General features: G+C 42.9%; 1 protein-coding gene and 1 long non-coding RNA gene across 7 annotated transcripts in view, besides 4 other annotated features; one reads left to right on the forward strand and one right to left on the reverse strand.

Annotated features, from left to right (window-relative positions):
- Positions 1,557–3,338, reverse strand: LOC124901490 (uncharacterized). The gene is made up of 2 exons (XR_007059923.1): positions 3,214–3,338; positions 1,557–1,956 (listed from the first exon to the last, which is right to left on the reverse strand). It is a non-coding gene; the product is annotated as an uncharacterized LOC124901490 (long non-coding RNA).
- TFAP2B (transcription factor AP-2 beta) overlaps positions 2,667–15,511 on the forward strand; it is a 29,265-nt gene continuing 16,420 nt past the window's right edge. For 2 of the 6 annotated variants that reach the window (XR_007059334.1, NM_003221.4), the window contains exons 1-3: positions 3,183–3,284; positions 7,719–8,177; positions 12,931–12,991. Coding sequence is in view for 5 of the 6 variants with exons in the window: in NM_003221.4 (NP_003212.2) it covers positions 3,204–3,284; positions 7,719–8,177; positions 12,931–12,991 (601 nt within the window). In the remaining variant the exon portion in view is untranslated. Of the gene's footprint in view, positions 2,722–2,799; positions 2,929–3,147; positions 3,285–5,743; positions 5,790–6,445; positions 6,473–7,718; positions 8,178–12,930; positions 12,992–15,511 lie in introns of those variants that run through there. The other 4 variants (XM_017011233.2, XM_017011234.2, XM_011514837.3 and 1 more) reach the window with 4 other exon arrangements.
- Positions 7,984–8,511: an enhancer, noted in NCBI's record as "H3K27ac-H3K4me1 hESC enhancer chr6:50791385-50791912 (GRCh37/hg19 assembly coordinates)". NCBI's record gives its function as "activates a minimal SCP1, AML or CMV promoter by ChIP-STARR-seq in naive H9 embryonic stem cells {active_cell/tissue: H9 hESC(naive)}" and the evidence as "EXISTENCE:reporter gene assay evidence [ECO:0000049][PMID:30033119]".
- Positions 8,577–8,706: a silencer, noted in NCBI's record as "fragment chr6:50791978-50792107 (GRCh37/hg19 assembly coordinates)". NCBI's record gives its function as "represses an EF-1alpha promoter that drives an FKBP-Casp9 reporter gene in an ReSE screen in phorbol 12-myristate 13-acetate-treated (for megakaryocytic differentiation) K562 erythroleukemia cells {active_cell/tissue: K562(+PMA)}" and the evidence as "EXISTENCE:reporter gene assay evidence [ECO:0000049][PMID:32094911]".
- Positions 9,663–10,163: an enhancer, noted in NCBI's record as "H3K4me1 hESC enhancer chr6:50793064-50793564 (GRCh37/hg19 assembly coordinates)". NCBI's record gives its function as "activates a minimal SCP1, AML or CMV promoter by ChIP-STARR-seq in naive H9 embryonic stem cells {active_cell/tissue: H9 hESC(naive)}" and the evidence as "EXISTENCE:reporter gene assay evidence [ECO:0000049][PMID:30033119]".
- Positions 10,164–10,664: an enhancer, noted in NCBI's record as "H3K4me1 hESC enhancer chr6:50793565-50794065 (GRCh37/hg19 assembly coordinates)". NCBI's record gives its function as "activates a minimal SCP1, AML or CMV promoter by ChIP-STARR-seq in naive H9 embryonic stem cells {active_cell/tissue: H9 hESC(naive)}" and the evidence as "EXISTENCE:reporter gene assay evidence [ECO:0000049][PMID:30033119]".

Here is a 15,511-nt window from a genome sequence, read left to right on the forward strand (position 1 = left end):
ATATTCCCTCTATATGAGGCTGAAAAAAAAAGAGGGTATGAATAATTCTTTTCTTTGCTGTTTTAAACTGAAATAAATGCAAATGAAAGAGGAAAGTACGAGTGTTAACTATCTGGGATGTCTCAAGTGCGGTTCCACCTAGGAGAGCATGTGCGTAACCTGAAAAAGAAATATGGACATAAGGCAAGATAAAATAACGAGGAAAATGCATATTTTACTCGTTTAATTTCCTTCAAATCCAGAGTTTGTTTTGCCTTTGTGTTTCCATTTACTGAGTTCTTGCGGGAATAGTTTCCCTACGTCATGTGATTGAGTGATAACGCGAAAGGTAATAGAAAGTAAAAGCAAGAGAGGTAGGTTCAAGTTAGGAAAAATTTTCTCCGTAGCGGCTGAGCTTTTATTGTGCGTTTCTTCGGGCGTTTGAACTTTTTAGATGCTGGAACGATCGTTTCTAAAATTAGTAAATATCATAAGAAGTGAACTTTAAAAATGTTCCTCTCAATACCAGGTTTTCAAGAACGGAAAGAAACCTTTGCCGAAAAAGAAATCAAGGAGACTTGCAGGGTTTGCGTCTATAAAATTCCGACAGAGGGCGCTGTTGCCCGTTCAATGACAGGGAACGGTCCGTGGGAACGGTTTACCTTGCAATGTCTAGGACTTTTCGAATAACGCCCACGTTAAAAAAAATAACTAGGATTTTAATTATGGTTATGTATTTTGAAGGTATTTCTCTATATATATGTGTATATTTTTAGGTTTATGCTTCATTCTTAATAAAACCAGATTTGTTATTTTTCAGGTTTCCTAAAGAACTTAAATTTTAACCAAATATCTCAAGATATTTCCACTTTAAAAAATACCTAATACTAGCATAAAATAAAATTACACATAAAAAGTTTGAAATTATTCATATATAAGGCTATAAAATAGTTATACTAACACAATACCTTATATTATTTTAATTTATGTGTAAAATTATCTCTTGCAGGTTTTGTTTTGTTAAATCTCAGAGTTTATTTATTTTAGACTAGGCAATAATATACCAAAAAGATATTAAAAGGTGTTAAAAGCATTTAGAGAAAAAAAGTGAGATTTTTCCAAATGCATTTTATTTGGGTTGTAATGATCTTTAGGTAATAACAATGACAGAATTATTGATTTGAAAGGGAGAAAACAATTATTTCCATTAATTAAATGTCTTGTGCCTGGAGAATCTGAACTTCCAAGTCTATAATATTTATCTTTCAGATTATTGATCTGGCACTGATTTTAGTTCTAGAAGTCAGGGGGTGTGGAACCCGTTTCAAGTCCCACCACACAATAAGATTAAGAAAAATCCCTTCTCATCTCCTAACTAGCTCTGGAAGCAAAGAAGAAAATCTTTGCTGATGCTCCTAGTGAAAAATCTGTATAGATTGTGTATGATTTAAGGTTAACATTTAAAGGGGAAGAAAGGAATGGAGAGAGAAAGGAAGGAACGAAAAGGGAAATGAAGGAAAGAAAAAAGGAAAACAAAAAGGAGGAAGAGGAGAAAAGGAAAGACGAAACATAAAAAATTCAACCGGAAATAAGGGGTTTATTTCTGAAGTTCCTTCTGAAGCACCTTCTTTGTGTTCTTTTCCTTTGACTTATCTTTAAAAATTAAATTAAAAATCTGCAGAATTGTTTATTCTGCAGTTCATGAAGCTTCTCCTTGGTTTTGATTGAATCGACGTCCAACAAGGTTGTCCGGAGCCCTGTACTCAAACAGCGTCCATCCCTGTTCGCGCAGAGCTGCACACAGCAGTCCTGGATTTAAAGACAATCACCCTTTGCAGATTCACTCTCACCAGGCTTAATAACTTCCACCCCAAATTGCCCCATCCCTCCTCGGTCCCTCCTGGCATTTCTTTTCTGTCCCAGGCGCAGAGATCCTCTTCTGGGCGTCTGTTCCGGCTATGAGAAGCTCTCCGCACCCTGAAAGGGAGTAGAAAAACAGAGGGGATGGGAAAGGGGGAACAGGGGAACAGATGAGTATTCATTTCATGATAAAATTCAGAATCCCTGCGCCTTAAATGGTGCCCATTTTCTAAGTCTGGTTAATATTGTTCTTGTTGCTGATGATGTTTTCCTTTTTAAAAACTATATGAATCATCTTATTAAGAAAAATTATACAAAAAAAAGAAGAAACTCCACATGCACTAAAATATTTTTCACTATCTCTTTGAAGACATTCTGCTTAAACCTTTTCAAAGATTCGGGTGGCCCTTTCTTGACTCTCCATGATTAAAACCACTTACAAGTCATACACAACAGATGCAAATATAAAATGTCCTTGGCCTCTGCAAAAAAGGCTCAAAATTAACCTTGTCTGAACGTGTGCGTACGTTGCTTCCAACATCTGAAAAAAACTTGATAAAATGGAGACTCCAGCCAAGAGGAATGGTGCATGGAATCCGTTGAAAATGCATACAAACAACACCTAAAATAACAAGCAGCACAAACTGAGGTGTATTTAAGTTTCCAAAGGTTTTAGGTAAAATGACCAGAAAATATTAGAAATGGTCATCAACGGTGGCTAGCTTTTTTGTTCTATGGTGACAGAGATAAAGTTAAAAAAAAAAAAGTTGTGTAGCCATCAACACAGAGATAGTCCTTAAAATCCCCCATATCCAGCCTTTCAAAATACTCTCTTCCGGAACATACATGAATAGGAGGGAGCTTTTGTGTTTAAAAATCTTGGTAAGTGTCCCCCTTTAAAATCTACATAGAAAATAGGGGACTGATGGCCCCTGGTTTCTCATTATGAATTGCAAAGACTTCAGTTAGTGGCTACAATGATGTGTCATTTTCGATATAGAAGTTATAAAATGTATATATTATATTAATCACCCTGAACAACTCTTTGTTAAATGCACATTTGGAGTCTGCAGACTGTGTGACCCAGAGGTGCTTATATAACTATATGTGGGTGTCTGGGTGTAAATACGGGTTTATGATTTTTATAGTATATATGTCTGTGGGTTGCATCTAACTCCTGTGTGTGCAATAATGTTTTTTCTCTTTGCTGAGGCTTACTTGTCCAGCCTATTGTTTGAGACAACAGATATAAGTTGCGATGGGAGAGGAGCGTCGGATTTGGTGTGTATCCCCCATTTCCAATTATAGATGGATCATTACAGACAGCGGAGTCCTGAGAAGCCAGACATCTGCTCCTCACATGAATGCACTCACCTCCTAGAGACCAGGCTGCCATCATGCTCTGGAAGCTTGTGGAGAATGTCAAGTACGAAGATATCTATGAGGTGAGTCGACACCCCCAGATGCACCTTAGAGCTTTGCAGATAGAGAATTTGAGCTTCTTGATACCCCAAATGATATATATTTTTAAGCTATTTACTCGTAGATTTCCGGTCGGTTTTCTCAGCTTTTTTTAACTTTTAGAAAAGCTGGCTAGGGAAGACTTCGCTGCTCTGAAAAGGGACTTTAAGGCTGAAATCTGACAACTTTAATTTAGGAATGTTTTTATTTATTTTATTTTTCTTTCCCTTTTCCTCGCCTCCCCCCACCCCACCCCACCCTTTTAAGCTCTGATGGGGAATGTGGTGCTACTGAATGTGGGCACGCTCTCAGAGAAAATCGAGATTCTGATAAAGTCAGGGGCTTTTCTCGTTTTAAGTGTGGAAGAGAATTGGGTTTTCAAGCCTCATTTGTAACAGACTCGGGCTTTTAATTTTTATTTTCAATAAAATTTCTGAAATTGATAACAAATGGTTCCAAGTAGAGGACAGAGAATTAGCGGGAAAGAAGTAGATGGCTGGAGATATGGATGGATAGAGCAAAATAGAAGTCGTAGCAGTTTATTAGTTTCTGTTTTCTTGTGTTTTGCTTCCTTGAGGGTCACTGCGTCCGAACAGAAATCGCAGCCGCCTCCTGTGTGGGCATCTTTCACGGAAATTTCTGCCCACGTTCAATGCGTACGGGTCTCTAGCACTGAGGCTAGCTCAACTCTTCGGGGCAGGAGAAGTTGCGCCCAGCCAGGAGGACGCCAGCCGCCTCCGGGGCCCGGACCGCGCTCGCCAAAGCCCTTTTCCGGCTCGGGCGAGGGCTGACGCGGCCAGACGGCTCCGCTACTCGCGGGCGAGGCGGACTAGGCGGACGAGGCGGCCGAGGCGGGCGAGGTGGGAGAGGCGGGCGAGGTGGGAGAGGCGGCCGAGGCGGGCGAGGCGCGGGGCGCGCGGCGGGCCAGGCTGGGGACCGGGAAGCCCGCGGAGCCTCGCTTTTAAGCGGAATGGTCTGGGACAGCCCCAGGTGGTTGCCAGGGGAAGGGAGGAAGGGAAGGTTCTGCTGAGACGTCGAGGTTGGAAATAAAAACTTCGGAAAGGCGAAGCGGATTTAGAAAAGGAGGGAAGTCGAGGCGGGCGAAGCGGGCCATGGAGATTGCTAAGAGGAAAAGTTGGAGAGAAAAGGAAGGAAGAGAAGCAGACTCCCGGGTGGCGGGCGCGGGCCGCTAGGTCAGACGAAAGGTGGAGGGATGCAGAGGCTCCCCAAAGAGCCGAGAAAGACACGCGACCCCTCCGGATCGGGACAGCTCCTGAAAGCCCGGCGCAGAGCCGCCTCGAAGATCCTAAGAGTGGGCGACTCACAGGCGCGGCCGGCAAGCTCCTGGGGGACTCGGGCTCGGACGAGCGCCCACAGGCAGCGCCTGGCGCCCACACCTCCTGCCCCCCCCCGAATCCTAATGTTGGGGTGTGTGTATGTGTGGAGGTATGTAGGAGAGAGGAGGAGGAGATAAGAGAGGAGAGGGAGAAAAGCAGGAGAGAGCGCGAGAGAGCAGAGAGGAGAGAGATTGGTCTTGTTGCTGAATGATGCTTGGGGTTTTCCTTTTCTCTTTGTGGTTGTGTATCGACTGTAACGAAGAGCCGCGCCTACGCGCCTGGTGGGGATTGTTTCGGTTCGGCCTCCTTTTCTTTCCTTAACAGGCGGGATAATGGTAAAGTCCAAGGCGCTAGAACTGTCCTAAAGAATATTAGCGCCCAAAGTGGGCATGACATTAGCAAGCACGGGGCCATGGTGAAAACAGCTCAAGCTATATGCATGCAGAGGCATTTCAGTGGGTTCTAAAAAGTAACCAGGGTAACATTCGTTCTTTACAGAAAGTAAAGTAGCTAAATGGAAAAGGAAGGAGGGAGAGAAGAAAGGAGGGAGGGAGAGAGGAAGAGGGAGGGGTGGAGTGGAAGGGAGGGAAGAGAGAAGAGAAAAGAGGGGAGGGAGAGAGAGAAAGAGAAATAAACAGGGAGAGAGAGGGAATATTACAGGTGGTCCTATCTGCCTAAATTTTCTGCTCAAAAAACAGAATCCGCAGCTCGGTGGAAGGAGCCTATTTAAGTCTGGACTAAGGTTGAACTTTAACAGAAATGGCAGTCAGGCCAGTTGAACGGGTTCCTGAAACATCCAAAAAGGTTTTCTGTTGCCCCTGGCTTTGCCTGGAAAGGATAAGTTTAGTGTATTTGAAGATTGATGGCGTATGTTTTAAATTGAGGTAAAAATCGCAAACTATGTGAGCACTAAACAGGAAAAGGCTGCACAGGAATGAAAAGCCTCCATCTCGCTTCTGTCCTTTAACAAATGAGCATAATCTTCCACATTTAGCAAAAGTCTGCAAAAGTCACTGTAAATAACCAGGCCCACCAATTTGCCTTTCTCTCGCCTCCAAATGATGAAGCAACCCTTTTTATTTTGTTTTTGTAATCCTCACACAAAGCACCCAAGGCGACCAAGTCCTCCGGATTAGGGAAGTCTCTCTCCAGGTAGGAGGACACCTCCATTCTATACAACCTCCCAGCACTGTTCTCCCTCACTGCCTTATCCAAAGGAGCAGGGGCTGCTTTACTCGTGTCCCCGGCACAGTTAATTGAAGTTCTGCCTCTTTCCTGCTAAACTTTTTCCCCAGTCTGCCTTTGCCAGCCCCCTCGTCTGATTACATCTAGTAATTCTCCACTGAATGAACGTCATTTACAATAGTAGGGGAGCTCTGCGCTCGCTGCTGCTTCACGCTCCATTTGTCCTCTATTCTCCCTTTAAAGTACTCGTGTAATATTAATAGTCATGAATATCAATTATTATGAGGCGGTGTAGGCAAGCGGAGGGAGGAAGGGGCGGCCGAGCAGTCTGAGCCCAGCTTCGGGTGAAAGAGGACTGCATCTGGAGCCCCGAAGAACGGCAGAAGAAAAGAGGCCAAAAAGACAGCAAAGAGACAGATGAATAGTTCTGTCTGTGTGTGACAGGCATCGCCAATCTTGTTGGGGTGGGGGGCGGGTGTAATTTTTTTTTTTTTTTTTTGATGGCTTGTCCTGGAAACACATCAAGCTCAGCTCCTGTGTCCAGCTCGCTTCTCTGCTGGACTCCTTGATTTTTTTTTTAATCATTGTTTGATTTTGAGCAGTAACCAGGCTTTTTTTTCCAGATGTTAGTCCACACCTATTCATCCATGGTGAGTTTGGATTCACGTGTTACCAGAATTGCATGCTCCCTCCTCTCACTGTCTCTCTGTCTCTGCGTCTCTGTGTGTGTGTGTGTCTCACACTCTCTGTCTCTCTCTGTCTTCCTTTGAGCGCCTTTGGCTTGGTAATTTAGCACCATAATTGGACGAGGCTGCAGCTGCTTCTCTCTGCATTGTGTGTTCTCCGTCTGAGCTCCATGAGTCAGCTGGGAGGGGAGAGGCCGAAAAGAAAAACTTTTTATTTGCCATTGCTGTTTGGAAATTTAGGTGACTATTTCTGCAAAAAGAACCATGGGGAGTTTACCATGATGTTTCCAGAGAAGAGAGGGAGAAACAAAGTCCACCTCCCTCATATACACACCTCCCCCTTCTTCTTTCACTTAGTTCACACTCCAGATAGGACCAGGAATAAGTTGTCTGGGCTTTTATTTCCCCCCACCCCAACTTTAGTTCCTTCATTTTCACATCCTGAGTATAACAGCATTAGATATAGAAAAACAGTCTTAGAAATAACTCCTATGAACCACAACTCAACTTAATTCATCATTGGCTTAGGATATGATTTCGAATGAGATCCATTTCAATGAAACACTATTTAAGTTATTTAATTTCTCCTGGAGAGGGAGGAGTGACTGGGAACTCAGACCAGGTGGATTCCTTGGAGCTCTTGGAATGATCAGGTTGTGTGGAAAGCTCCTCCTAATCAGCCAGCTGCATTTCCAGCGAAGGCAGAAGTTGGTTTTTAATCAGGGGGAGCAGCACAGCAAATACTATGAAGTTTTATTTGTTGTGATTTGTACCTCTGGAAGAGTTAGAAAAAAGTAGTTAAAAACACCCAGAGGAGCAAACACCATATGTAAGACTCCTACAATTTTAATTAAGGCATTTAGAATCTCCCTCCATACACACTGTTCCTGTACCCCTGCCTTTTGCCTGCTTTGCACTCCCCAAAAAGCGGCTAAAATGTTATAGTTAAGTGGGTGATTCCTTTCCCATTTTCTCCCCAAGCCTGGGGTTTGAAATTGCTGAAATCATGTGGCCCTCTGAGTCAACTTGGGGGTCTAAGTTTCAGATCCTTGCTTCCCTTGTCCCGGGAAGAGCGTACAAAAGCCGGGCTTCTCCATTTGTCACTTGTATTTTTTTTCTTCCTCTCTGTACTCTCTGTCTCTCTCTGCCTCTATCTCTCTTTCTCTGTCTCCTTCTCTGGCTCTCTTCCCCTTCCTCTCTCCGCTCCCAGGACCGGCACGATGGTGTCCCGAGCCACAGCTCGCGGCTCTCCCAGCTGGGCTCGGTGTCCCAAGGACCCTACTCGAGCGCCCCGCCGCTGTCCCACACCCCGTCGTCGGACTTCCAGCCGCCCTACTTCCCACCCCCCTACCAGCCGCTCCCCTACCACCAGAGCCAGGACCCCTACTCCCACGTCAACGACCCCTACTCCCTGAACCCACTGCACCAGCCCCAGCAACATCCCTGGGGGCAACGGCAGCGGCAAGAAGTGGGTTCGGAAGCCGGCTCTCTCCTGCCCCAGCCTCGGGCCGCCTTGCCCCAGCTCTCGGGCCTTGACCCCCGGAGGGACTACCACTCGGTCCGCCGGCCGGACGTGCTGCTGCATTCGGCGCACCACGGCCTGGACGCGGGCATGGGTGACAGCCTCTCGCTGCACGGCCTCGGCCATCCCGGAATGGAAGACGTCCAGGTAACCACAAACAAACAAACAAACAAACAAAAAAGACCACGAATAAGGAATGCTTCTGGAGGGGGGGAGGTCAGGAGAGGGCAGCTCTGTCTCTTTTTGGGGAGTTTGTTCCCATGTTTAGAACAGGACTAGACAGTCATATAGAACTGTTTATGTGTGTCTGTATGTATGGCTCTATAGTGGCGATTTCCAGAGGTCTAATTATGATCATCCAAACCACGAGAAATTAAATCTTGAAGAAGAAAAATATGTATTTGCTTTGATACCTTAAGATTATTAGAATAAAGGCGAATGCTTTTGTCCTGCCTCAGCTACCATCTCCTGCATATTCTCTAGTGCTTTGTGGAAGCCAGCTTGGTACCCCTTCTTTACCAACACACACACCCCATAGTGGGGCTGTCCTGCTGACTTGGCAGGTGAAGACCTGGCTGCCTAGAGGCTAGAGCTTCAGAATGAAGTTCCAGGGGCCTCTGTATGCTCCAGAGGTTGCTGCTGAATTTGCAAAGATTTTGCTAAGCATGACAATGAGCTCTGATCATCTAAGCCAGGTCTTGCTTTGAATGTCTCATAAGCCACAGAGCTTTTTTCCAAGAGATAGTTGCAGTCCTCATCTGAGAAATAGAATATATGTGAAGGAGAAACTCAGAACGCCATAATTCAGGAGTCCATGATGGTAGATACCATTTTGGAAATTCTTTTCACTTTTTGGTTCATTAAGTGACTGTAGTGTAATATTCTCCACCTCCCTCTCCTGGCCTCCGCCTATATTAACACTCTTCTCTCCCCACTGCCATCATCCCAGTTGAGAGGCATCACGTGTTTATTTCTTAAAACAAAAGGCTCAAAACACTCCCCCTACCCACCCACTATCCCATCTGCAGTCTACACAATGGAGCCTGATTTGGTTGAGAATACTTGGTTAAACTAAACAAAGAAACATCAAAGAAATGATTCCTAAAAACTGTTTGGGTGATTCTGAGCAGGTCTGCTTTTTCACCCTAAGTTAAATAGTTGGCAGAAAAGATAAATATAGTTTACAGGTATGTAATTGACACTTCAGTTTCATTGGCATAGTTGTATTTATTATGCATCCTTTGACATACCTCTGAAGCAAAGGAAAATAAAATGGGAAAGAGAAGAGGGTGCAAGAGTCATTCTTCTGTACCTTGCTGAAAAAAAATAGTTTTAAACAGTTAAAATGTGGTGACAGCATCAAATGCTGTCTGTGTGTGGTCTATGATTGTTTATTGTTTTAAAAGAAATTCAGTTATTTATTTTTTTAAAAAAGACGGAATTACCTGATTTGTGCCTGGATTTACTGATAGTAATAAGAGTGATGATGGTTTTGTTGATTTAACTGAGCTTGACTGTTCCTGGCTAGAGATATTGCTCATTTCTGAATATCATATGAAAAAGGAAGTATTTAATAGTTTTTTTTTTAATGCATTGGGGTAATATGTGTCTCGAGGGGAAAAGTTTTTAAATTAACCTTTCTGAGTATGGTTCAAAGTGCTGGATAATGAAAGTGGATCAACTCATCACCATTACTGTTGATGATGCTAATGCCGGCCCTGTTACCACCACCCTACAGGCCAAGTGACTCTAGCGAAGGAACTCAGAAATTTTTCCCCCAAAAGAAGGAGCAGTTTTCTTTAGTTAAATGTTTTTAAAGAAATAATTGAGAGAGGTCTTTTTGTGTTTGGTGAAATTCAAAGTCTGAGAGAAAAACAGGGCCAGATCAGTGCACATTTGGGAGAATAGTCTTGTCAAAGCGTCGGAAAGGATTTAGTGTTTATGTGAACGGAGCACCTCGGGGCCAAGTTGTTGCTGTCGGGAATACAGACCACAGAGGTAGAGAGCTGAAAGGAGAAAAGCAGCAGGCAGCACACCGGAGCCACTTGCAGGCTCTCCACTCACCCAACCCCCACCCTGTTCCTCCCCTGCTTTATCTCATTTCGTCACCTGCCGGGAGGCCCACGGGACCTTCTTGGGACGACCCCTATAGTGCAAGGGACACACCCTGCTCCTGTCCCTAGAGGGAAACAGCAAAGACAGGGACGGTCTCTGCCTCCGCGGTGATGACAGACCTCCCAAGGCCAGGGTGAAGTTGACTGATGCAGGGCAGGTGACAAAGACCAGGGGTTATGTTTCCAGGACCACAGCCTCGAATCCGAAGGCTTCCAATCATCTGCTCAACACAGAAGGATCCACTTCCGAGTTAGGAAGCTGGGGTGCGGGGGCTAAAGTTACACAAGCAGGTTGGGATTTCAACGCTCTCCCTACAGCTATCGAATGGGTGGCCTGCACTGGTCCAGTCTTTAAAAGGGCCTGCACTGGTCCAGTCTTTAAAAGGACCAGAGAGTGCCTAGGCCTGGACCTTAAAGTCACTTGTTCCGATCTCAAGGACCTCGTGTGTGTTCCAGATCCCCTTGAGCCAGGGAGCTGGCAGACACTGAGGGTGCTGCCCTGCCTATGGGTCGAGGGTTTTGTTGTGTGACCCAGATGCACCACACTCAGGGCCACAGCCCCCACCATGAGAGAAGAGAAAGAGGAGAGCTAATTCACCAAATGCTTCTAATATTTTTTTAAATGAAACTATAAAACCCTGTCAATTTCTATTTCAATTTACTCACAGGGGCTATTAAACTAGCAAATCGCTGTTTGGGTTCTGGGTATGCTACATTTCACCCATTGTGCATGAGCGCGCGCGCGCGCGCGCGCGTGTGTGTGTGTGTCTAGTTGGGGAGGGGGCTACAAGTGTTAAAAACTCAGGAAAACACCTACAGAGAGAGAGACAGAGGGAGTGAAAGGACACCTAGTTTGGGATTTGTTTAGTTGTCATGTACACCTCTTTTCTTCTTCCCACCTTTGCTCTCTTACCTCCCATCACCTCTACCACCCATGAATATAAACATATAAGGATGTTAAGCCAACTCCCCCCAAACACATACACACACTCAAACACACCCGAGTGTCTTAAAGCAACCCCTGGTATCACTTTTAACTAAAGAAGTCTAGTAATTACGAGTCTGAGTTGTTTTTCTGCGCTTCCGCATGCAGTCCTAATTAAATCTTTACGATCCTCCCTGTGACGATTAAGCGCCAGCATGCTGCGTGAATATCCTGTACAAAAACCCAGCAGGCGGCCGTAATTAGATAGAAAATCAGACAAGAGCCTTCTCATTAACTACCACAACTACCCCACGTCGCTGATGAGGCGTTTATACATATTTACGTACAAGAGTGAGGGTAAGGTGTGAGGGCTCCCGGGTCCAGGCCAGTGTAAGTCAGGGTCTGGCTGCCCAAGGCACAGGAGAATATTTCTGTCCTGCCTGGACACATTGTCACTGTATACACATGATCATAGAAAGGTGTGAATCGTGTGTGTTTGTGTGTGGCAGGGTCCCCTGAGGAGTTATGAACAAGTTACATGAAATATTTTTAAAACACCTTTTTACTATTTCCTAAGATGTGCATGGCATGTTGCAGCAAGGATAACAATTCCTATGGAGAATAACAATTTTGCTCACTTTTCTGAGAACAAAAGAGTGACTATTAAAAATGAAAAGAAACAAATTAACATGCCCCCTGTACGATTAGATCATCTCATTTCTAAAGTTTTGCTTGTTTGGGGTAGACAGTCTTTTTCTTGTGATGAACTCACACTGTGAGGATGCAGCATGAGTCGGTGTGAGTGCTGTGAAAACAGCTCCTCACTCTCAAGCCCTTTGCTTTTTACTTCTCTATAAAGTGGGTAACAATTTGGTCCCAACTTAGGTTTTGAAGGGTCAAGAAAGTAGTTGTAGATTTTAGAAAGACCTAGCATTTATTTTCTTGGTAGGGAGAGAAAGGGAATCTACTGCTTTTGGACGCCCTGGGATGCACAGCCAGAACTGTTCATGTGTATTCTGACAGTAAGAAACTTGCTCCAACAGCTATTTCCTCTCAGAAGTGCTACCAGTGCTCAGAGTTGAAACTTTCCTTCTCTGGAATGAAACTGTGGCACAGAAGATGAACATTCCTTGCGATTACCTAGGTGCTGACTGGGAGGATCTAGACCTTTGTGTGTGTCTGCTTGTCTGTAGTTACTGCCTTCCTAACAGGTGTGCTCCTTGCTGGGAAGCAGCATCAGCAGGACTGGGAGGGAGGGTAAATTGTGAAGGTTCCTCCAAGAGACTGTCATTGTGCAGCAAGAAGCTCATAGTTTACAGGAACGTGTATGGGCTGTAATGGGTGTGCAGTCCTAGAGGCTTGCAAACATGTTCCTATGTGTTGCTGTTTGCATTCCATTCCAAATTGCTCAGACTTTAATTAAAATCCCATAATGTAAACTATTATGTATTTGTAAAATGGCTCTGGGGTTAAGATGCACTGGGATAGAATGGAAAACACAAATTGCTCTTACTAATATTGGTGAAAATCTGTCAGCTGTTGCCAAATTTTTACAATTCATAAGAGCAAATAATATAAAGGTTTATCTGTCTAATATCTATGTTTTATATAATAACTAAACCAATGTTGCATCCCAGATGTCTCTCAAAGTTTTCTTTCTCCACTTCTTCCATTGGAAAAATTTATAATTTGAGTAAATTTCATTTCTATGTCTATTTGGAGGTAATAATAATAATAAAACAGCCCTTTGTGAATTAATATAAATGGAAATAACAGAAACTCCAGTTTGGAATAACATGATTTATGTGTGCAATTCTTTAATATCCTGTCAATTTGAATAGTGATGTTTTTATATTCACAGTCAGTTGAAGATGCCAATAACAGCGGCATGAATCTATTGGACCAGTCTGTCATTAAAAAAGGTATGGATAATTCCCCCCAAAAAGTAAGCAAAGTTCTCTCATGCATTAACGTCTTTATGATGAATTTTCACTTTGGGGGAATTCATTATTTGACAAGACATAAATGTTTGTTCACAATTATAGGACAATGGCTGTCAGATTAGGGGAAAGGGCATGTTGGGAAGATGGAAGTTGGGCAAGGGAGAATGAAAACATCAGACACAAATTCAGATGAGTGAGACAGACTGTTGCAATTTTTCTCATGGCATATTTGGTAGCCATTCTTGATACATCTTAAATAATTGAGCTATCATCATGTGTGGAATTGGCTGGTAAACACTGGTTTCAAGAAGGTGCTACAATTATTTCAATGATAACTGGAGTTTGCTGAGTTAAAGCTTATGTTATTGAGATAGCTCTTTCTTCGTTTTGTATTTGATTTTTTTGGTGATAATTTTGTTCCCAGTTCTCTATGTTTTATGAGTTGTTTTTATTTATTTATTTTTTCATTGTGCCAAATTTGTTGCTAAATATGCGCATCCTGAGAAGCTGAGACAGCCTATGCACATTTCTAAATCTTCCTACATATGCATTCATGATTTAGTGTGACTGTGGAATCACCCCATACTGTTAAAGGGCATGTGATATTAACAAATGTTTGCAGTCTCTTGTACAGCTGTAAGCAAAATAATTAACTAATTAAACTAATTAAATGTAATTACAATAACTCATTTTGGGTGTATTGCAGCTGCTTAATTTTTTCTGCTTTTCTCTGACAGTCACTGAGAGAATGCCTGGCGATTAGTGTAGCTGCTAAAAGGCCTGAATGTCACTCAAATGCCACAAATTTAGGAGTTTAAATGTGTAAACAGTGCAATCTTTAATTATCACAGGAACTGGCATTTGACGATACAATTTTAATACTGTAACCCTTTCTCATGGATGTCGAAGAAATTCTGTCTCTATATTTAGTGTCAACAATCCTCAGCTTTCAATCATTTATGATTCACTTGAGCCACTTGACATTCAACAAAAACAATTAAAAGAAAAAATTCTTTGGGAAGTAATTCATCCAGACTCAAATGGGATAGTAGGAGGGTTGTGGAATAAGGATTCCAAACAGGGTGAGGTATTCTAAATTGTCTTCTTTTACAAAGTCAGGAAGAGTAGCTTTGAAAGGTGGGTGGGGGAAGCTGTACTTGCAATGATGCCATTTGGCCTTGGAATGAATATCCTAAAGTATAGTAAGGTTTGGGGCATAACTATTTATTTTAGTGGTTGCTTCAAACATCTCTCTCTCTCTCTCTCTCATCTTCAAATAATATTGTTTTGGCTTTTAATGCCAGCTTTTGGGTTTGCTAGGATACCCAGGCTCGGTGCTTAAATTTGCAACTGTGCTGACTGACAGCTCACTTTTCCTGTTTTCTCTTGGGTCTCCTCTTTCGGTTAATTGCTGGTTGATTAGGGTGGGGTCGGGGAGGAGCTTCTCCATTGGCTTTTTTCAGTTTGTTTTAGTTCCTCCTCCCTTTTCATGGAAAGCTAGAACCACTTAGCTCAGGGTTCTGTATCCTAGCAACATCATTTGGGCTGGCAGGGGAACATGCCCAACAGATGACCAATCAGAAATGTTATTAATAGCCAGTCCAATAAAAATATTTGTAACTTAGCTTGCCTAGCAAAACAGAGCTGAAGATTTTCTTAGATGTGGGATGCTTTGGTTTCAGAGCTTGTATATGTTTGTCAGTGAAATGTGAATATTTATGTGCAAGGTTGTCTCCAGGAATAAGAAAAAGAGAATAATGACTAAAGTTGATGGTTCTGTTTTTGGAAACAGAAGAGTACATTTTATGTCCCCCCAAATGTACAGCTTTTTAAAAAATGTGCAGCTTAAAATATTTAAGTAGCATCCCAGTTACTTTAATTGATTCAGAGGGTGTGGTATGAATATGATGAAATGGTAGGTCAGTTGCATTATTTAATATTTGACATATTTGCTTTATTACATGAAGAAAAGATCCTATGTCTTTTTTCTTTAGAGAGCCATAGGCAAAATAAGAATACGAGGTTGATTTACTTTTCTAACTCAGTATAAGCCACTTAAAGTTGTGGTGAGTTCATTAGCCCCTTCCCCTGCACCCTAGTCTCTTTGCTCACCATCTCCCCAATTATGAGAGATGTTTCCAAGAGATGAATTTTGTAAAAGAGGTGAGAAAGTCTTGTGAACTAAATATTCTAAATTTCAACACCTAGAAGAAGGCTTAGTTTCTTAATATATTTTCTAATGGGCTTTTAGGCAGATAAAAAAAAATTCTACCTCATTAGTAACAGATTGGCAAGTGGTCTAGGTTTGGGGGTCTCTGAGTCTGTGTTTATGAAGCTAGAAGACTTAGGCATAAATGATGCATGTCTCTATCTCTATGTCTCTTTCTCCAGTTATGGTAAGGCCCCTTCTAAAATTTAACCAATCTAATTTTTCACCTGTGTTTATGTCACCCCATAGATTATGGGCTCCCTCTCTTGTTATGTTTGCTATCTGGGCTT

This window comes from Homo sapiens, chromosome 6 (assembly GCF_000001405.40).
Source record: "Homo sapiens chromosome 6, GRCh38.p14 Primary Assembly".
Lineage (NCBI taxonomy): Eukaryota > Metazoa > Chordata > Mammalia > Primates > Hominidae > Homo > Homo sapiens.